This window comes from Homo sapiens, chromosome 6, assembly GCF_000001405.40.
Source record: "Homo sapiens chromosome 6, GRCh38.p14 Primary Assembly".
In the NCBI taxonomy this organism is placed as follows: domain Eukaryota; kingdom Metazoa; phylum Chordata; class Mammalia; order Primates; family Hominidae; genus Homo; species Homo sapiens.
In genome coordinates this window covers 92,846,051-92,868,502 of record NC_000006.12, presented here as the reverse complement: position 1 = coordinate 92,868,502, position 22,452 = coordinate 92,846,051, and the positions used below count along the sequence as shown (strand labels likewise).

Below are 22,452 nucleotides of genomic sequence, written 5' to 3'. Positions count from 1 at the left end.
GGGAAATATGACACATTCATTTTAGGGATATGGTGCATCTGAGATATTTGTTCGATTAAACATGCAAGTCTGCAGCTGAGTTTTATATAGTATCAATTCCATTGCTGTCTATTGCTGATTTTACAGATTCCTTTTTTGAAATGCTTTTAACTATACTTTTTTTTCAAAATGTCTACCACTTTCTAGTATCAAGTCATGTGGTGACAAAATAATGAAAAAAAGTACTTGATGGTCATCACAAGCTGTTCCACATCTGCTCTTCCTACACAGACCTCAGGTAATTGCCCTCCAAAAGAATTTCCATGAAATTCTATAGGGTTTTTCTATCATCTTAAGCAAAACATTAAAGAGTAAAGTGTGAACTCTGCATTAAAAATGAACTTACTATCAACTTTTCTCTCCTTGCTATTCTTTTTCCTGTTTTTACAACATGCTACCAAAAGAAGCTATGAAAAGCCACCTACATCCTAATGGTGTATTCTCATTAGTGATGACAGCAAGATTAAATTCCCAAATGTGGTTGCCCACAAAACATGTATTTTAACTTTGTTTTAGGTTTTTTTGTATTTTCTTTTTGGAGAGTAACTATTAAAAGTGTTGAGGCTGATTTGATTATGAAGCATGAAATCCACTGTATGTATAAAATGAATTGAGAGTCTAGGTTTAATGAGTGAGGGTTTAAGTGTAGTTTTTCTAAACAGATAAGCACACATAAATGTAACACATCCCTTTTTAAATGTAACAACTAGAATTTGAATTAAAGTATGACTAAAAATGGAGGTAACCACTTAGAAATCTTGATGATCAATTTTTGTGTTAGCCACATTTTGGCTTAGAGTGAGAAAACAAGAAAACCTTATTTATTATTTAAGTGACTATTGATCCACAGCTATACACTACTTAGTTGACACAATGTATTTCAACAGTACAATTATTTTTTGTTCAATAAATATTAATTAAGAAGTAGTGATCATGATGAATTCATCAGTCAACCATGTCTCCTGTGATAGCTTGTTTTATTCCTCCTTTAAACCCTATTATGAAAAATAAATTGTTTGTGTGATAGAGCTCACTCTGATGCAGGTGATTCATAATGTCAAAGCTGCTCTCACTTTGACTTTATTCCAGAATAGAAAATAGATTATGCCACACAAACACACAATTGAGAGCAGAGGACTTTTTCTTAAGCTTAACTTTGGAGTTGATTTGGCCTATTACATGCCTTATTGCATTTTGTTCAGAATGTTGTATAACTCAGTTTGCTATTATAGCTTCTTTTCTGCCGAGAATATTCAGACAGCCTAATTTATCCTTTGGTGCCAGAAACGGCATGAATAATGTGCTGTCTAGAATATAAGGGGAAGAAGGAATCAACTTAATCACTTTTCTGGCATTTTTCCTTAAGCTGGCTACATGATTTTTTCAGGCTGCCTCCAGAGCATGCTACACTGTGGTCTACAAAGACTAGTCTTAGCTGGAGGAAGGTTCCAGGTGCCTCTGAGTGGCCACAGTTCCTTCTGCTCTTTCTCCTTATTTCATATTTTATTCTCCTCTCTCCTCTTCCACTGACACCTGACATGTACCAGGAACAAACTAAAGACATTAATAATAGCAGTCAAAGTTTGGTGGAAGAAAGAAAATTAAGTAAAATATAAAATGTAAAAATGATATTCCTTCTTATACTCAGCTGCTTCTTCTCTACTTGTTTCTGTCTCATGACAATGAAGTAGTATAATGGAACTAGAGCTACTTCCTGCATAGAGGTGCCCCTCCATTGGAAGAATAAAACAATGTAAAGATAGGGGATGGCATAGGTCACCTTTGCTTTAAGTTTTAAGGAATAATGTCTCTTTCCTTTTATCCATGTAAGAAGAATGGTGAGGACCAGAGGAGCAAGTGAAGAACAGAAGAGATTCTTCCTTAGGCCTCTACTCTAAGTCTAGGTCTCACAGCAACTCATGTTGTCCAAATCCAGCTGGTGTAACAGGGAAGACAGATCTATAGGGAAGACAGATCTATCTGGTCTAACAGTGTTTATGAATCTTGGAGCAAGAGTCAGACAAGGATTGTGTCATACAGTCTTTTTATGCTGGTGTTTAGCATGCACAGAACCTAGGATATTGCAGGAACTCAACAAGTATTCGTTTGGCTAATCAAATTATCTGGTATGGATTAATTGATCAAATTAGTAATTTATTGTCTGGCATATCCTTAATTTATATCATGAAAACTGGTTAAAAGGAGGCAATTGGGTGAAGGAATATAAATCATAGAAAGACTGGTCTTTCTGGCTGCATCTGATACAACTAGAATATCCCAAAAAGAAATGTTAGCTAACCTGATCATTGAAGATAGAGTTGATGCCTCTGGAACATGCTGGTCTTTTTCCAACCAAAGAAGAACAGTTGCCAATCAGAAAATTATATTTTGTCTGCTCTTGCTGGTTACAATAAAAGTAGGCCCTGCTTTGTAAAAGGACCTGTGGCCTTTGGCCAAACCATCACATGGATGTAAGCAGATAAGGTTATCACCTATATGGTGTGAAAGGGCCCTAGCAGAAATATTTTTCCTGACAACTCTCAGTATGCCTAAAATTTAAAAACTACAGATGTGAATGCTTTTGGTCTTCAAATGTCTTCATCTATAATGCATAGACCTAAAACTGTTATTAGACAAACTCTTATTTGAGGGATGATCTCTTAGGAGTGGTTAATAGACAAGAATATGTCTAATTCTCTCAGACCATCTGTTTCCATTTGTTCAATGCCATTATATGGACACTGAGGTACTGCAGACCTTATCTGCTTTTCTTGGGCATATTTTATATTTAAATTTGGATATCGTATATTATTGTGCAAATGTCCTTTCTTAAACCCTTAAATAGTAAGACGCTTAAAACATCAAATTTTTAGGAACTAGGAAGCTATTTGTAATCACAGCATTACAGAATTTTAAAAAGGGAAGATAACATAGGGATTGGCAAAACATTGTTGCTTCTTGGGCTTTTGATCAAGTTCTAGTGTGATATCAAGTTCAGCTGCTTTATTTTACAAATGGTGAAATGAAAATACGTAGAGATTAAGTTACTGCTTTAAGTCTGCACAGACAGAGGCCAAACTCGACAAACTAGATCAAGAGTTGACAGAGGTGTGGACTTCCTGTTCCTAGTTCTGTGTGTAAGCAGCTTGGAAGTCACCACTCTGTCCAAACAACAAATAAAAAGCTGAACAAACTGAAACATTGAAAACTCTTCTTAGATCTGTAAAAGAAGTGAGGTCGCAGGGCAAACCACTGCTGCAGAATTAGAGAGACAGAGAGGCAGATACAGAGCATCACAACATACCAGAGCAGAAACCCACAGAACCAGTGTCACCATGGGGAAACCTGAGCTGTAATTGATGAAATGCTGGAGGCTCAGTGTGGAAAAGGATGAGAGTTAAAAACTCCCATGGGACCCAGTCATATGGGGGCACCCAGGCTTTGTGTGTGTGTGAGTTCTACTTCCAGGAGCTCACCTAGGTTTTTACAGTAAATAACAAAGAAAATTCTCCTAGTGCTTCCGCCAGGGGGAGAGGAAGAAGAACCATTTCAAAATATACCAGATTTTATTATTAATGAGGTTTGGCCTCAGGAGAAACTACTTAACCAGAGCTTAACCTGCTGGGGCTTTTATCAGAGATTAACCTATCAGAGAGAAGGAAAATGCCCAACCCTAGCTTACTCCAGCCATCCTGTCTCACCTAAGGCAGGGTAGATAAACACTTAGAAACACTTGTAAAGTTCACAGTCCAGAGCCATAGACTCCCTAAAAGGCTGAGAGAAACCCAATCATAGGACAAGCAAATGCTTCCATTCTCCTCCTTGCACATGTCGCCATCACATTACTGAAGGCTTATTTCCAGCAGTTTCTTTTATCTAGTAAATCATGTCTGGCCATCAAGAGTCGATAGAGGTGCAAGCTTTCCTCTGATTATTCTAGTGTAGCCTCCCTCCAACAATTTCATCTAGTTGCTTTTCCTGGCTACTTCCTTTCTTAGTTGGAAGCTAATGATTTCAAAAGAAAAAATGAAGCATGCAACTTTGGGTGCATAAGCCTTTCAATTTACGATTATAAGAATTCAGTTCGTAATATTACAATGGAAAGAGATTGAAAGGGGAACCAGAAGACCTGGTTTCCAGTACTAACTTCATCGCTATCCATATTGTGCACCACAATTTGAATCATATCATTTCACCTCACCTTTACCCTCCTTTGAAAAATGAAAAGGTTGACTAACTGATTGTTAGTTTTTCTTTTAACTCTAAAACATCACAGCTCTTAACAAAAGGGATCATTCTTGCAAAGGCCAATGTTGATGATGTAAGATAGTTTTCTCCTTTTCTACCTAATTCAATACAATATTAACTAAGTTTAGATACTAGAAACTGGCACATGTCAGGCTGTCAGTATCAAAATATATTTCATTAAATCAGAGTTTAGAATATCTGTATTTCTCAATTTCCATGTATTCCTGATTAAGTCATTCTCACCCTGGAGTCCTAAATACTTTGCCTTGGGAAAAGGAGGGAGGGATTTAGATATGTAGGTTTTAACAGGTAAAAACATAAAATTTATCTTAAGTCTCTGTTTTATCCTTAATAATCATGTAAATGCTGCATCTGATTTCACACTATCTTTTTAAAATAAAATATGTTTTAAATTATTACTATGTATTACAATTCATGCATCTGGAAGGTATATTGTATTTATCTGTGGCTTTTAGGACTCACATTCCCTCACACACAGACCATCACTGTAGCCTGGGGTTATTAATATCTAATTTTGAAAAGTGTGATATTTCTACCCCTCCCCCAGGGAACTATATTCCCTGTAGATCAGGCGGAGAATGGAATCATATAAAATTCATTTTATTTTGCTTTCTAATCTAATTTTTTGGCTTAAACAAGATTAGTGATAACTGCTTTTTTAAGAACGTGATTGCTTCATAAATGGTTGATTTTTTGAACAATTTAATTATATTGAAAATTAAATAAATAGGACAGAATATGTTATTTTTTTTTTTTTTGAAGTTTTATCTAGAAGCATTAGTTGGTAATGGACTAAGTAAGGGAACACTGACATGAACAGAGCTAGGGTTTTAGGAGAATGCCTGAATACCTGGAAAGAAAAGAGTGCAGCTAAACAAGGAGGAGAGATATGGCCACCTCTCAGGCTTTACAGACTCTCATCAGTCCTCTGCCTAAGGTCCTTCAAGGCTAAAGAGCAAACCTAGCCTCTGCATACTCAATAGCAAAATCCAAATACATCACACACTGTTTACGCAGATGAGATGGATAGCTTTTTTGAAAACTTCTTTAGAGAATTCAAGCACTCCGGTGTGGGCCAAGGAACCTTTAATATTTTACAAGGCAAGAAAAACAGCTGTGGTTAAAAGCACAGGTCCTACAGTTGCATTGACTCACTTTAAATCCTGGTTCTGGCAATTATGTCTCTGTAACTTTTGCCAGTTTTCCGAGTTTTCATGTGCCTTAGCTCCTCATTTGTAAAATGAGGACAGTAAAGGTACCTCTCTCACGTAGAGCTGCAGGCGAGGTTACATGAGATGCTATGTATAAAGCATTTAGAATAGTGTCTAGCATGCGGTTACTGTCAGTTATTATTATGCAGTGCCTAAAAACCCAGAAATAGGATATATAAAGATATGCCCATTTGTTTGAAAGATCATTTCATGTTTTTCATGCAATTAATGTATGCATTTACACAATTTTCCATATTATGTCACAGGAAAATATATGTGCTGTGAAAACTAATTTTGCTGATGCTTTGGCTTCCCATAACATAATATAAGAATACTCCTAAGCTTTCTGGAAAACTTTAACTTCATTAATATGAGATATATTAGTCTACGGCCTTCAGGGATGAATAGAATAAAAGGTATCTCCCAGTTGTAAACCACAGGTCTTAAAATTAATTAAATAGTGGGTAACTCTGTTAGAGCAAGTCAAGGTATACTTATATAGTTTTTGAAATGCATATCAATTTTTGTATAAGAATTCTCTGCCCAATATTAAAGTGCCCAAACAACTTATAAAGAAAGCATATATTGAAGGAAGGTGTAGACCATTGTCTGAGGACCATGTTTTTTTTTAAAAGGACTTAAAATTAAATGGTTAATGATCCAATTCTCCCTGGTATATTTAGTACTGTGAATTTCTGCTATGGAAATTTAATACATGCTATTAATTCTAATTCAGGCATTGTATTAGTGTCTAATATCAATGCCTCTAAGACTAATGTGTCTTAGAAGAAAATTTTCATAATATTTCTCTCAAATTGATTTTAGTTAGGTTCTCTTATTCTGAAGTCACATTTTTACCAAACTGACTTTGTTTGGAACAGACTTCAGACTTCCCTTTTTTGAATTTAACTGATATGGGCCAAATTAAAGGGTCTATAATTTTTAAGGTTGAATATTTATTGGAAAAATAGAAAAAGAAGATAAAAATGTGTTTCCTTTTTACATGATGTGGCTTCAGACTCTGGTCTTACCATCTTTCTGCATTAACTACTCATTAATTCAATGAGAAATAAATGTGCTCATTGCACTAAATTGATTATAATTTGCCCGAGTTGATATTACTTTTCTTTCTTTCTTTTTTTTTTTTTTTTCTTGAGACGGAGTCTTGCTCTGTTGCCCAGGCTGGAGTGCAGTGGCACCATCTTGGCTCACTGCAAGCTCTGCCTCCCGGGTTCACCCATTCTCTTGCCTCAGCCTCCCGAATAGCTGGGACTACAGGTGCCCGCCACCACGCCCGGCTAATTTTTTGTATTTTTAGTAGAGACGGGGTTTCACCGCATTAGCCAGGATGGTCTCGATCTCCTGGCCTTCGTGATCTGCCTGCCTCAGCCTCCCAAAGTGCTGGGATTACAGGCGTGAGCCACCGTGCTCGGCTGATATTACTGTTTTTATAAGCCTACTATCCTATCTTTAAAAGGTTGAATCTTCTAAAACTTTATCAAACACACGCGCACACACACACACACACACACACACACACAAGGATATGCCATTTAAGAACTAGAACTGCCTGTTAATTTACTACCTTAGTTTCTCATGCAAATCATTTTCAAATCCCATTATGATTTTTCTATTTCCAAAATTGAATACTTTTAGTAAACTGCTAAAATTGATTAGAATTTTCAAACATGATTTTCCCATTATTATATTTAATTTTATTTTCTTAGAGACAAAAAGGTGATCCTAGTTTTCTTTTTAAAACACAGATGAATGGTATAAAATTTAAGAATGTGAAATGGGAATTCCGTCCAATGTTAGTAATTCCTACTTATTTCAATGATATTATCTTTCTGTAATGCTCATGATAACCAGAAAGAAATGTAAGCCTCCCCATGGTTCCTGAATCTTGACCTGTATTTCATTTTATACTGTTATCTGTAGCATATTTTGGAGTGATTTGCTTGAGACTCTAGGAATATTCATTTTCCTGATTACTTTCCTTGATTATGTAGGTAGATCACAGATGTTGGAAATTTGAACATACTTTATAGTTATATATAGAATTTACTATATTTTTGAAAATATGATTTTAATCATTTTAAAACATAATGATAGCTTGTGTTTTTTTTAGTGTCTTTTTCTCAGGCACTTATTTTATATTTCCTGACATTTGTGAAGTGGAAAGAAAGGCAATATGCCATTAACTTTATTTTTACTCAAAATTGATTATGATTTGTCCCTGCTGACATGGCTATACCTGTGAGACTCCGATGTGTCTCGCATTTTTTCATTTGAAACTGCTCTTCTAAACAACTTCATGTACCAGTACCATTTGGTTGTATTAGATGCTATGCTGTTGATGTGTCCCATGTAGTAGGCTATGACACTGATGTTCAAAGCACTGTCCTAGGATTGTGGTGAACCAATCACTTCATCCAAGAACCAGCATGTGGAAGATATGAGCAAATAATAGGAACACCAGAATTTAATATCTGCCTTTATTGTTTTCATTTCTGGAAGAAAATAATATGTAAATAATTGTCCCTTATGAATTATTATAAAAGATGAGAGGAAAACAATGGGTATTCATCAAAACTTCAGTGTTTTCAGAGAACACTAATTTATAATGTTTTTGCATTTAACATCTACTGAACTATTATAGTTTCACCCCTGGCCACGTAACTACCAAACACCAGTTTAGGTGGCAAGAACTAACGTCTAATTTGATAATAGTGATGATAATAGCTGTAGAATAAACAAAACAGGAAGGCGAATGATTAAGATACTTCATGTGATTTGTAGGTTACATATGAAGTCACACTGAAATAAACTTATCTGAAATCATTTATTCATTTTACCTTTTCCTTTTTATATGCTTTTTCATTTTTTATTGAATTTTTATCACTACTCATAAATAAAATAAAGCCCATATGAAAATCATTGAATTAACTGCTACCATTTTATTCAACAGATGTAAAGTACATATTTACATATTAGATTGGCCTGATTTCTGAAAGTTCTGATGAGGATTTAACTTATTATTTAAATGCTATTCCTTATCAAAAGGAAACCTGTAATGGCAAGAAGCATAGACAGTTTACATAGATAGATACATAGGCTTGAACTAATCCCAAAAATCTCTTGAAATTGAAGAAATCATAGAACAAACTGTATTTTTCATCAGAAGTAAATGCATGTGGTCTCATTGGAGAGATGTCACAAAAACCTGAAAAGTAATATCTGTCCATGACAGGTATTTCTTTCATTACTATATATAAAATACTATTTAACATATCTAAGTGTATTATAAAAGACAGTAAAATGTTTATGTACATAGTTCTGATTCATCTTCCTATCCTTCTCTATAGTCTTTCTACAGTGGCTAGTGCAAATTTGGGACATATCTATTTGTAGGATAGAAAGAAAAGAAAATTAAGAGATAAAGAGAAGTGAGGAAGAGAAGGAAGCCAAAGATTAAGCAAAAACAAAATGAAGAAGAGAAAGTATTTATGCAGCCAATACCTTTCTTCAATATAGGAAGTATTATGAAGAAAATAATTGCAAATACATTGCTAGGGAAGCCAAGTGGCATTTTATTTCATAAATCTGTATTTCGTATGAACAGACAATGGATTCCAAAAATACACCAACCCCATGGCTACTTATTTTAACACCCAGCTGATTCTTTGATGCAGACCCCATGTGGCCTTTCAGTTGCACTAATGCTCAGATCTTCCATTCAAACACTTTTGAATACTTGGAAATATCTTAGGGTTCATAGGTATATATTTAAGTTTAATCTAATATACAGTTTAACAAAGTGAGAACCAGTGATATAATACCTGATATAAATGCCATTGTTCATCATTAAAATGCCTCTCTTCAAAAATTCAGAAAGAAAAAAGTGAAGTATATATTTGACAGAGATTATTCAAGTGGCTCATACATTTTACTAGGTAGAATCCTTTTGCAATTGTGTGTGAATGTGCTTACCTAGCAACTGTCTTTATATTTTTTATAGCATACACATATATGACTATTTTTACATTTATATGAGAGAATCTCTTTCTCTCTCTCTCTCTCTCTCTCTCTGTCTCCCTCTCTGTTCTGCTTCTGGTGTGGAGAGTTAGTGATGATTGTTATCATTTCCAAATACTAAGAATTGATATCCCTGGGGTCCCAGAGTTTAACTGTGAGGACTAAGCCTATATTAAACGACTTTAAATTTTGTTCCAGGGAATTTCTACCCAGGAAAATAAAGCTGTAATGTCTAACTTTATTGTTTGCTTCTGAAACTCCAGACAAACCCATTTGTCCAACCAATGGAGTTCTAGACTGATATGGTTTGGTGTGTCTCCACCCAAATCTCATCTTGAATTCCCACATGTTGTAGGAGGGACCCTATGGGAGGTAATTGAATCATGGGGGCAAGTCTTTCCCATGCTGTTCTCATGAGAGTGAATAAGTCTCACAAGATCTGATGGTTCTATAAGGGGGAGTTCCCCTGAACAACTCTTCTCTTGTCTGCTGCCATGTGAGACATGCCTTTCACCTTCCACTATGGTTGTGAGGCCTCCCCAGCCATTTGGAACTGTAAGTCCATTAAACCTTTTTATCTTCCCAGTCTCGGGTGTGTCTTTATCAGCAGCATGAAAACTGACTAACACAGTAAATTGGTAACAGGAATGAGGTGCTGCTGAAAAGATATCTGAAAATGTGGAAGCAACTTTGGAACTGGATAACAGGCAGAGGTTGGAACAGTTTGGAAGACTCAGAAGAAGACAGGAAAATGTGGGAAAGTTTGTAACTCCCTAGAGACTTTTTGAATGGCTTTGACCAAAATGCTGACAATGATATGGACAATGAAATCCTGGATGAGGTGGTCTCAAATGGAGATGAGGAACTTGTTGGGAACTGGAGTAAAGGTGACTCTTGTTATGTTTTAGTGAAGAGACTAGCAGCATTTTGCCCTAGGCCTAGAGATTTCTGTAACTTTGAACTTGAGACAGGTGATTTAGGGTGTCTGGTGGAAGAAATTTCTAAGCAGCAAAGCATTCAAGAAGTGACTTGGAGGCTGTTAAAGGCATTGAGTTTTAAAAGGAAAACAGAGCATAAAAGTTTGGGAAATTTGCACCCTGACAATGTGATAGAAAAGAAAATCTCATTTTCTGAGGAGAAATTCAAGCTGGCTGCAGAAATTTGACCAAGTAACAAGGAGCCAAATGTTAACCCCCAAGACAATGGGGAAAAATGTCTCCAGGGCACGTCAGAGAACTTTGCAGCAGTCCCTCCCATCACAGGCCCTGAGGTTTAGGAGAAAAAATGGTTTCGTGGGCCAGGCTCAGGGTCCTTCTGCTGTGTGCAGTCCAGGGACTTGGTGCTCTGCATCCCAGCAACTCCAGCTATGACTAAAAGGGGCCAAGATACAGTTTGGGCTGCCGCTTCAGAATGTGGAAGCCCCAAGCCTTGGCAGCTTCCATGTAGTATTGAGCCTGTGGGTGCACAGAAGTCAAGAATTGAGGTTTTGGAACCTCTGCCTAGATTTCAGAGGGTGTATGGAAATGCCTGTATGCCCAGGCAGAAGTTTGCTACAGGGGCAGGGCCCTCATGGAGAACTTCTGCTAGGGCAGTGGAGAAGGGAAACATGGGGCTGGAGCCCCCACACAGAGTCCCTACTGGGGCACCACCTAGTGGAGCTGTGAGAAGAAGGCCACCATCCTCCAGACCCCAGGATAGTAGATCCACTGACAGCTTGTGCCGTGCACCTGGAAAAGCTGTAGACGCTCAATGCCAACCCAAGAAAGCAGTCAGGAGGTGGGATATACTATGCAAAGCCACAGGGGCAGAGCTTTCAAGGCCATAGGAGCCCACCTATTGCATCAGTGTGACCTGGATGTAATGGAGTCAAAGGAGGTCATTTTGGAGCGTTAAAATTTGACTGCCCCACTGAATTTCAAACTTCCATGGGTCCTGTAGCCCTTTTATTTTGGCCAATTTCTCCCATTTGAAATGGCTGTGTTTACCCAATGCCTGTACCCCATTGTATCTAGGAAGTAACTAACTTGCTTTTGATTTTACTGGCTTATACACGGAAGGGACTTGCCTTGTCTTGAAGGAGACTTTGGACTGTGGGCTATTGAGTTAAGGATGAAATGAGTTAAGACTTTGGGAGACTGTTGGGATGGCATGATTTGTTTTGAAATATAAGGACATGAGATTTGGGAGGGGCCAGGGTTGGAATGATATGGTTTGGCTTTGTCCCCACCCAAATTTCATCTTGAATTCCCACATGTTGTGGGAGGGACCCAGTGGGAGGTAACTGAATCATTGGGGCAGGCCTCTCTTGTGCTGTTCTCATGATAGTGAATAAGTATCACGAGATCTGATGGTTCTATAAGGGGGAGTTTCCCTGCACAAGCTCTCTTTTCTTGTCTGCCACCATATGAGATGTGCCTTTCACCTTTTGTCATGATTTTGAGGCCTCCCCAGTCATGTGGAACTGTAAGTCCATTAAACCTCTTTATCTTCCCAGTCTTGGGTATGTCTCTATAAGCAGCATGAAAATGAACTAATACATTGACCAAGCCCCTTCTCAGGACAATAGTTCACTCAACTAGTCAAACATACTTGCCTATCAAACAACTACTTACCAAGAGTCATTCCTTGAATTCATCTGTTTTACAATAATAAACTATTAAGAATTTTGCTTAGCCTTAATTAAATCCTACATTGAAAGATTGCCTTAAACCACTTGCAAGGAGATCCCTGAACCACAACAGTATCAGGCTTAAGCTCCCCTTCTAAGACACTACTAAGCCTCAGTCAAGATGGTGTTCTGCCCCATGCAGTAGGTAAACAAATACGCTTTCTTCATCAATGTGTCATTCTGGTATTCTCTTTGGAGACTCAATAGTAGACACCACTTATAATATTTATAATTTTAAAAAGTATCAAAATCTAGCATGAGCTCCCCAGGACAACATACTCAGAACCTAGCCTTGGTCTATGGACAGTATGTAGTGTTAGCCCTATGGACAATGTGTGCTACTGTGAAGTGGGTATTAGGATTCTGATAATGGAAAAAAATAGCTAAAGAAAATATGAGACAAATCTTTGAAATGTATCTATTCTAGTTAATATTCTCCTAATTCAGCTATGAACATAATAGTTATTAATATTTTAAACATCAATTTTTTAATAAACCCAGAGAATAATGTTTATTTGTCTTGTATACTGTGAGAATGTTAAAACAAATTTTCTTTTAATTAAAAGCTTTAAATAAATTAATTTCTAATTTTATTTCTTGTAGTTGTATATGGACTTTCAATTATGAAGGAAATTTTTCACTGAACCACTTGCTCTTATGTACTAGTTTTAAAGACCTTTGTTTATGTTTCAGGGAATCTACAGTATTTGATGCTTTCCTTTTGAACACATCTAAATGGCCTTTAAACCTCTGAGGCTTGAAAAAAGTGAACCATTATTAAATGTTATAAAATATGAGGTGCAGTTTAACATATTGAGACTTTTAGAAACCTGAAGTTCAATAATATTTTTTCAAACAGCAATTTTACAGTATCTATAAAATCCACTATAACTGACTGTGGCTTACAATGTGAACTGCTATGATTTTATGAACTTTTCCCCAAATAAATAGTTTTGATTTTGAGCTGATGTTAAAGGAATATGCTACCTCTGTAATTGGTTTGCTTTTATAAAGAAAAGAAGTAATAAATATTTCTCCCCTAAATGAAATTTAATTGAAGGCATGCTATTTTAGAGCTGAACCTAAATGTTAACTTATGTGAAAAGATATTATTTTCATAAAATATTTTGGAAATTTAGATCTTTAAATAAAATAGCAACATTATTAAGACAATATTTTTAGCCTCAGAGTAGAAATGCATTTGGTCCTACAGGTTTTCCCCTTTCATAATGCACTGCTTATTAACAAAGAAAGTTGGTTATATTCAGGGTTGTTGAACTATTCTCCACTTTGTAAATTCAAAATTGTGAAGTCTTTTCTCCAAAATTATATTTCTAATAAATACAATCATTACCCAAATTATTCTTATAGAGCATTTAAATTAAAATCCCAATACTTTTTTTCTGAACTCAATACCTATCTAAAAAGTGAACATTTCTTCTTTTTATTTCACCTAAAAATAAAAGTATTCAGCAAAGTACTGGAATTAAGCTACCAAAAGATAATTACAGCTGGTATTTTATATGTTTTATACTGTCAGCATTTTTCAAATTATTTTTTTTCTTAACAGAAACCTTAATTTGCACTGATTTTCAAATATGTGCAGAGTAAATTGAACAAGTTTAAAGAAAAAAAGCAGTGCTGGTTTAAACAAGAAGCAAAATGCAAAACCTGGGAAAGCAATAACTGTTACAACTACCTCAGAGGTGACAGGGAGAATTGAAACAGACCCTTGCTTTTGCCAGTAATAGGCACATTGCATGCCATTTTTTACACTAAATTCAGAGGAATACTTTTCTTTTAAATTGTCATATCAAATAAGTAAATTGAACATAAGAAATAATTTATATTATTCAAGCTAAAATTAGCAATGGAATAGCAGTGCGATATTGCTTAGGATGACATGTGGCTAATGGAAAATATGGTAATGGATGTATCTTGAGTGTCACTCCTAGTCTAAATTTAGTTCACTAAATAATCACAACAATAATTCCCTTCTGTTTTCTCAACACCAGCTTCTTATTATGCTTTATTTTTGCATTGTTTCAGAAGCATTGCTTCTATTTATAAAACCTCAAATGTCATTTACATGTGACTTCAAAGAAGCATCAGAATTTATCTCTCTAATAGATAGATAATTATTGATGATACATTTTCAGCCTTTTCTTGATGCGATGTTGCATCTGATGTTCACTTCTTTAGGGTGGGTATGCACAGCACAAAGGTAAGGGAAAAAGAGGTGGAGTTACATTCAATGTAAGTCTCTTGGGAGTGGAGTGGGGGAGGAGAGAGCACATCTTCGAAGGAGCTGGTTCCAAATTACCAAAGTGAGATATCCAAATGCTTAGGACTCCTGATCTGCTTTTCCTAACGAAGTCTCATATTACATCTTTTTGAGTGTGTAAAAATAAAAACTAAAGCCTTTTAAATTATAATTTATAATGTTTTGGTAAATTTAAAACTTAGGAATAGTGTTTACTTATAGATATTGATTAGTATGATTTTCCAAGAGATAAATTAATGAGAAAGAGGTTATCCGCTTTATTTTAAAAATAGAATAGAAATCAACTATTTGGCATTGAGTTTGGGGATAAAAACTGTTCGTTTAAGAAATGCATGGTAATTTTCTGCCTCTGCTAGCTAACATCAATTTTATCTATTGATTACATTTTACTGTTTGATTTTTTTCATTAAAGATATCCTAATCTTCATATATATCTTAATTTTAATATCAAATATGAGAATGAAATCTAAAATTTATTGGACATTCATTTATGTACCTTGTAGAGTCCTTATCTTATTTAGTTCTCAAAACAACCTATCAGTACAGATAGTGTTAACGTCATTCCACAGTCAAAGATATTGAAGCTCAGAAAATTCAAGCAAATTGTTCATAAGTACAGCTAATGCATGCAGGTGACAGAACTTGAACCTGCTACTACTACCCAATTCTAACAACTATTCTCAATACAGGAGATTTTCTTCCAGGAATTTCATCTGTTAAATTGCTGCTCACCTTTGCCTTGATTTTATAGGTATTGTTCTTTATTTCTTTAACTAGCCTTAGAACCCATTACATTTCTCGAAGTGGTTTTCCAAGAGGACTCTTCTTTTTCAGTAGGTACTCATCTGAAAATAATTAATACTTTTATAACTTATAACTTCCTTAAATAATTTAAAAATAAATGTATGTTATATTTAAATATTTATTTTAGATTATATTTTTAACTTTTTATATATTTATATATTCTAATTTATATTATAATGTATTTTTGCTTTATATTTAAGTTCTTTTAGGCAGCATGGACCCACATCAGCTTTGGGTGTGAATATTTAATATTTATAAAACACCTTCCTTGCAACAGTAACGTGCTAGGTGCCTGGGTTACAGAGTATATCAGTCAGGGTTCTCCAGAGAAACAGAATCTCACACACACACACACACACACACACACACACACACACACACACACACACTTCCAGTAAGGTATAAATATTATTCATATTAATATTATGCATAACATAATATTTATTATAAGGAATGCACTCACATGATTATGGAGGCCGAGAAGTCCCACTATCTGCCTTCTATAAGCTGGACACCCAGGATAGCCGTAGTGTGGTTAAAAGGTCTAAGATTTGGAGAGCTGGTGTTATAGATTTCAGTCCCATTCTGAAGGCCTGAGAACCAGCAGTGCCAAGGGCAGGAGAAGACCAATGTTTCAGCTCCATCAGTCATGAGGAGAGTGAATTTAATTTTGCACCATCTTTTTGTTCTAATCAGGCCCTCAATGGAATGGATGATGCCCACCTACATGGAGGAGGGTCATCTGCTTTATTCTGTTCACCAGTCCAAACACTAATCTTTTTGGAAACACTCTCACAGACACACCCATAAATCATTGGTTGGGGCTCATAGGCTGATACCCCAAAATATGGTGCTTTGACATACTGGAGAAAACCTCAAGTGTTCTCTGACTTCCTCATCTCCTGCCATCTGTGAAACTGAAGTTTCTTTATCTGCCTAAGATCCAGACCAACCAAGGAGAATAATTGTTTTTTGTTCCCCTCCCTGTAAGACCAAGATTGTAACTATGCCTGAAGAGACACTTTCACCAGATATCATCTCTGTTACCTGATCCATTCATTCTCCCTAGGAAGCCCCTCAACAGAATTCCTTTTCTCCTTCCTCCCCCCAAAACCTGTGGTGCCAGGATGACATATAAGCTTCTGACCTCTGTTGGGGGTGGGAGAATTATCACTTTGTGATTCTCCCCATGTACACATTAAATAATTTGTATGCCTTTTCTCTGATTAATCTGCCTTTTGTGTGTTGATTTTTTAGTGAATCTTCAAAAGTTGAAGATGAAGTTTTCTCTTGACACCTACAAATATTTAACCAGTTATTTGGCCTAGTCAAGTTGACACACAAAATCAACCATCACACAGAATAATCATTGTCTCTTCCACCCAAAATCTCCCAGTCCAGGAGTAAAAGTAGCTCTACAAATAGTAATTATGGTGTCATGGGATAGAACTGCAACAGAAATCCTGATCAAAGATGAAACATACATGGATTTGACCATTCAGGACTCAGAATATACACAGTGCAGGAAGCAACAGCAGCATTCATGGATTTAGTGAATTCATCTTATCAAGCACCTTATAGACGCCAACACATTTTCATAATAAAATAGTGCAATAGCTATTGCAAGCTTTCAGATTCGTGGAAGTTAATTAAGGCTTTGCATAGACAAAGTCATAGGGCAATTAAAAAAAAGTAGCGTATTTAAAAAAACTTGAGTAGACCAACATTCTTGGAGTACTGAGTGAATGCACGGGAAAGGACCAAGAGTCTAGAAAATTTGGTTAGGACATGATGTAACTGAGTGCTGAGCTATGGTGTTTGCTGGCTTAATCCTGAAAATGGGAAGAGTTTTGATGATTTTAACAGACAATAATGTTGCTGTATCTCTCGTCATTTGAAAGTGGGAGCTTATCTTCATGGCTTGGGCAGAAGCCCCTAGGTAACCAACTATAAGAAAATCCGAGCCTCTGGCATTTGCTCTGAACTATTGGCTCACTTGCCCACTAAACCCATGATTATACTTCTGTGGCCTTCAGATTAACTGCCACGGTACTCTGGGTACTGAGAGCTTTACCCAGCCCTCCTCTCTACACAGCTTCTTGTCCTGGCTTACTGATGTTGGCACCTTTGCTGAGATCACTATATAGTCCCATGCTTCTACTGGCTTCTGCAAAGCAAGCACTTTCTCCCAGTCTCAGATTTGTGAAAGTCTGACTGTCTGAGCCAGTCTCAATAGCTTTTTAGGAAAGAACATCAGCCATTTATTCAGAGGTCCTGATACTCAGGACCCTCTGCCCATTACTCCGTGCTGGGAAAATGGATGAAATGACATCCACTTCTAGTGATCTACACTAGGCAAGATAATTGAATCATTGAATAAGAAAACAAAGCCATATATTAAGTAGTTTTTACAGCTCAACAAAAATGAGGACAGAATTAATAAGTTCGTATTTGCACATACCCTGGGAGGAACACAGAGCTTGTATCAGTGCTGCTTTGACCTCTTCTGAGAGTCAAGGGAAATTTCAGACTAAGGTGGGGAGGGTAGGTGGTGGTGATAACCCCTTTCCCTCCTCCAGGTTAGGATTTTTCCAGGCTGAGCTAATAGAAGAGAGAGATTTATAATGTGACTCAGATTTAGAAAAAGAGACTCCATTTAAGTAATGCTCAAAGATAAACAGGCAGGAAATTAAACTGACAATGTGAAATGGCCAATCTTCCACCATTTTCTTTTCATTCTTCTTTAGATATTTTTCCTGGGCCCAGACTACCTTTCCTCACCATCTGTAATAAAGTATAGGTCAGAGGGGCTGCGATTGAAGAGGAGGTGGGGCTTTCAGTGTTCAAAAGAGATTAAAGGAGGTACGTACATATGGAGGCATGAGAAAGAAAGCCCAGTAGGACCTTTGCCACACAGGGATTGAAGCTGTGGGTTCCTCAGGGGTATATATAAGGGGTGTCCTCCTAATGTTTACATTATCCTGAAATGAGACCTGAGTTTACATTATTCATGGCTCTGTGTTTATCTGTGAGTGTATGAGCACTGGTGAGGATAGAAACGAACCACCTCCCTCATCACTACTTATTACAAATGTCTTCATGGTTGGTATCAGATAAGATTATCCTAAATCCCATTTTGTTCATGATAGTTCTGTTTATATGTGTTGTCCCAGTGTGTTTAGTAGCATGCCATTCTTCTCAAAAGTGTCACAATAGGCTGATAAATTATAAGATCACCTTAGTATTAGGGAATAATCAGAAAGCCTCGTACAGAATCAATGACTGGCTGCCAGTGAAGGTAGATACTTTCTCAGTCTTTAGTCACTCTTCCCATCCAGATAAGTGGTTGAGCCAGTTTCTCAAGTTGTTCTTTGCCTTCTGTTTATCAGGGAAGTCAGAGTATGTAGTCACCTTCCTCTTACAAACAGCTAGTCTACCTGGACATAGCGTTTGGGTATAGTATTATTCTCCACCACTCCAGGGAAATATATTTTACAACCAGAAGAAGGGGCCACATTATTTGTCTTTGTGTCACCAGGGCCTGGCACTGACGGCCAGAAAAGCATGCAATATTTATGGGATATGCCGTGATCTCATTATGCCATCAGGAGACTGGTGCTGTGGCCCCAAATGCTAAAATGTGCCATGGAATCTGTCTCCTTATTTAGTAGCTGGGATGAAGTCTTGAGCATCTCAAGCTCAAATTCAGGAACAACTAAACAGAAATGTAGGTGAGAGTTGAGAGCAAGAAACAGGCTTGTTCAATAAATCAGAGAAGGGACAAATTCATCCAAGTCAGAAAGGGAGAGTCTCCTGTCAAAGGAAAATTGCACTGGACAGAGTTAAGAGGCAAGGAAGATTTTATTCAAGACTATTGTAATAGGGGTCAAGTCTGTTGCAATCTGTGAAAGAAAGTGAGCTCAACTCTGCTAAAACAAAAGGCAAGAGAACTTTTGAATGCTGGGGTGAGCTAAAGGAAAAAGTACCTGGAAGACCTTAGGAGGGAGGTTGGCTAATGTGATATGGCCATTTTGCTTGCTAATTGGTGCTTGTCAAAGTTAGGCTCCTACTCTCCCAGATAGGGAGATAGGGGCACTGTTTTTCTTAATGACTGCATTTCAAAGGGATGGCTCCTAGTTCCTTGAGAAAGACCTTTCTGGCTTATAGATTTACATCTCAAAGAGTCAGAGAAAAATTTTCCATTTTAAATGCTCTAAGAAAAGGGAAAAATTAGTTAAGTGGAGGGTAACAGTAAGGCAATCTTGGTTATGCCTCCACTCTCTGAAAAAAATGCATCTCTGTTTAAGACTACAGGATCAGAGGGGATGAACCCCAAAGTTTAAGGTGCAGATGGCCAAGGGGATCATGAAGCTCTGAGATTGGACAGTCCAGAGAAGAAGAGAGCTTCTGGGCACGTACCTCTGCTTTAGAAATGATTTCGACTCATATTCTTCCATGAGCAAAGAAGCAACCTGATAGGTCATGTAGAAAGAGTTGAAAAGGCTGTAGAAGAGATGGGCTGTGTGAGTAGCAGTGCATGGGTGGCAGTGAATGCTTGGTAATGACAAAGAAGCTGGTCAATTTTAGTCAAGTTAGAACCCTCAAAAGAGATACGCTTATCGCCCTTGCTTCTTTACAAATTCTACAAACCCTAAAAACTTTTTTCCTTTTCCAGGAGCAGCAGCATCAGTAGCAGTTGGGTTTGCTCCCACTTCAGACATGCTGAATCAGAAATTTTGAGGTTGAGGTCCAGCAACGTGTTTTAACAAGCCCTCTAGGCGATGCTGATGCACTCTCATGTTTGAAACACTACATACTAGATGACAAGTTTAATGTTGAGGTCTATTTTTTACTGTGTTTGATATATTTTTGAAAATTGATTATGGGAAAAGTATTAGAAGAACTCATTTAGGCCTGGAGCTGCTGTTGGAACTGATTGCTATGTATGGAAACTCCAGCAGAGCAGCCTTTGAAAAACAGATTGATAACAATTAACTCTAAGCACCAGTGATTAACCTTAAGTAGCCTAGGCTGCTCCCCAAGGAACCACAATTTACTGAGAGCCTAAGAAGTTGTAGCTATTTAGCATGTAGATTGGTCCAAGCACAAACATTTTTCTATTTCTAAGATTCTATTGTTGTGGCTTCTGTCACTTGCTGTTACTTTTTCTTAGTATAAGTACAAAGTTGAGAGGAAGGATGCATGAAAATAAACAATACTGAATCCCTACTAAGTGTTGGGCAGTTTATATACTTATCTTATTTAACTGATGAGGTAACTGACTCTCAGATTGGTTCAGTAATGAACCCAGATGAACAAGGACAGATGTAAAGCATTGTCTAACCTCTAAGCTCATGCTAAATCATGGAGGATATAATAGAATTAAAACCCTCTCCACCCTACAACAAAATAATAATTCCATTGTAGCAGGACAAGCTGCAGACAAAACCCCTCAGACACCGAGTTAGAGAAGGAGGGGCTTTATTTGGCTGGGAGCTTCAGCAAGACTCACATCTCCAACAACCGAGGTCCCTGAGTGAGCAATTCCTGTCCCTTTTAAGGGCTCACAACTCTAAGGGGGTCCGTGTGAGAGGGTCGTGATCGATTGAGCAAGCAGGGGGTACGTGACTGGGGGCTGCATGCACCGGTAATTAGAACGGAACAGAACAGGACAGGGATCTTTACAGTGCTTTTCTTATGCAAATAACCGATTAGGTCAGGTGTCCATCTTTAACTACCAGGCCCAGGGTGTGGCGCCAGACTGTCTGCTTGTGGATTTCATTTCTGCCTTTTAGTTTTTACTTCTTCTTTCTTTGGAGGCAGAAATTGGGCATAAGACAATATGAGGGGTGGTCTCCTCCCTTACCGTGTGACAACATGAGGAGTGTTAGTCAAACCATTGAACCAGTAGTAACTCCCAACTCCCCTTTTTAGCCTAAAATAATAATACAAATAAAAATAATTTTTAACAACTACTGAGAGCTACCTATATTTCGGTACTGTGCTAAATATCTGACACATAAAATATTCATAAATCTTTACAACACATAGAAGATAAATTATAACACTGCCACACACACCTAAATTCTAATACTGCCACACACAGCCCCTTCCCCAGCCCCAGTTTTACTGCTGAGGATACTGAAGCCATCAGTGGTAAAATAGCTTACCTGTGAACATTCAGCAAATTACTGTAGAAGCTTGGATGAAAATTTGGACATCCTGCTTCCTGAATCCATGTTCTTAACATTAACAATACCTTGCTCCTGAACTTCTTTCCTACTCATATAACCTGATGTTGCAATGACTTTCCTGAAGCAGCTATGTCAAGGCCTCCCTGGAAAATTAATTCTTTAGGATTTGTTTTCTTCCCAGAGAATCCAAGGACCATACTCAATAAACACTTCTGTTGCACTCTACATTACCTACCAGTTTCTCCTTTCACAAGGTGGCTCAGTTTGTGAACTTTGGATTAAAAAACAACAAAAAAATTATCTTAATCCCAGCTTCCTCTCTACCATATTGATATCTCCATGCTGTGATGCACCTAATAGATCTTCCTTTTAAGCTAGCATCATCCACACATAAATCTTGAAACACCTGCTTTTCTCTCCCTTTAGACTTCACTAATTCTTTCTCTAAAATGAGATGAATGGCTGGTCCTTATTACTGAATGGCTGAGAACAATTTACATAGTCTGGGAACAGCAACTTGATCCCAAACATGTGATCCTTTTCCTCTTCACATCTTAATCTCTAGTGAGAAAAAAAGAGTCATGAAGATTCTTCCTTACCGAGTATCCATAGGAAGACAAGTCTATGTCAGCAGGTGTCACACGGGGGACAAAATACATGGCTTTTCCCTTGCTATTTCAGGGAGGCCTAATCTCATTTTTTCACAAGAATCTTCTTTTATTGTGATTAGCTCAACCTTACAACCCCAAATGGAAAACTCTTTGTGAACTAAAAGGAGACAGGTGTCCTTGGCTGGGCTAAATAGAGGAGGAAGGATTGGATGGATAGGTCATATCCATCCATAGCTCTGGGAGGTTATGGGAATACGTGGAATGCTGGCTGTTAGAACAAATCCTCACTGAATTCATGAGGGGAGGAGCACTCCAAACCATAGATTTGGTAATA

At 37.2% G+C, this 22,452-nt stretch overlaps 3 annotated features.

The window, feature by feature from the left end:
* Positions 18,891-19,482: an enhancer, noted in NCBI's record as "OCT4-NANOG-H3K4me1 hESC enhancer chr6:93558739-93559330 (GRCh37/hg19 assembly coordinates)". NCBI's record gives its function as "activates a minimal SCP1, AML or CMV promoter by ChIP-STARR-seq in primed H9 embryonic stem cells {active_cell/tissue: H9 hESC(primed)}" and the evidence as "EXISTENCE:reporter gene assay evidence [ECO:0000049][PMID:30033119]".
* Positions 20,075-20,666: an enhancer, noted in NCBI's record as "OCT4-NANOG hESC enhancer chr6:93557555-93558146 (GRCh37/hg19 assembly coordinates)". NCBI's record gives its function as "activates a minimal SCP1, AML or CMV promoter by ChIP-STARR-seq in naive and primed H9 embryonic stem cells {active_cell/tissue: H9 hESC(naive and primed)}" and the evidence as "EXISTENCE:reporter gene assay evidence [ECO:0000049][PMID:30033119]".
* Positions 20,667-21,259: an enhancer, noted in NCBI's record as "OCT4-NANOG hESC enhancer chr6:93556962-93557554 (GRCh37/hg19 assembly coordinates)". NCBI's record gives its function as "activates a minimal SCP1, AML or CMV promoter by ChIP-STARR-seq in naive H9 embryonic stem cells {active_cell/tissue: H9 hESC(naive)}" and the evidence as "EXISTENCE:reporter gene assay evidence [ECO:0000049][PMID:30033119]".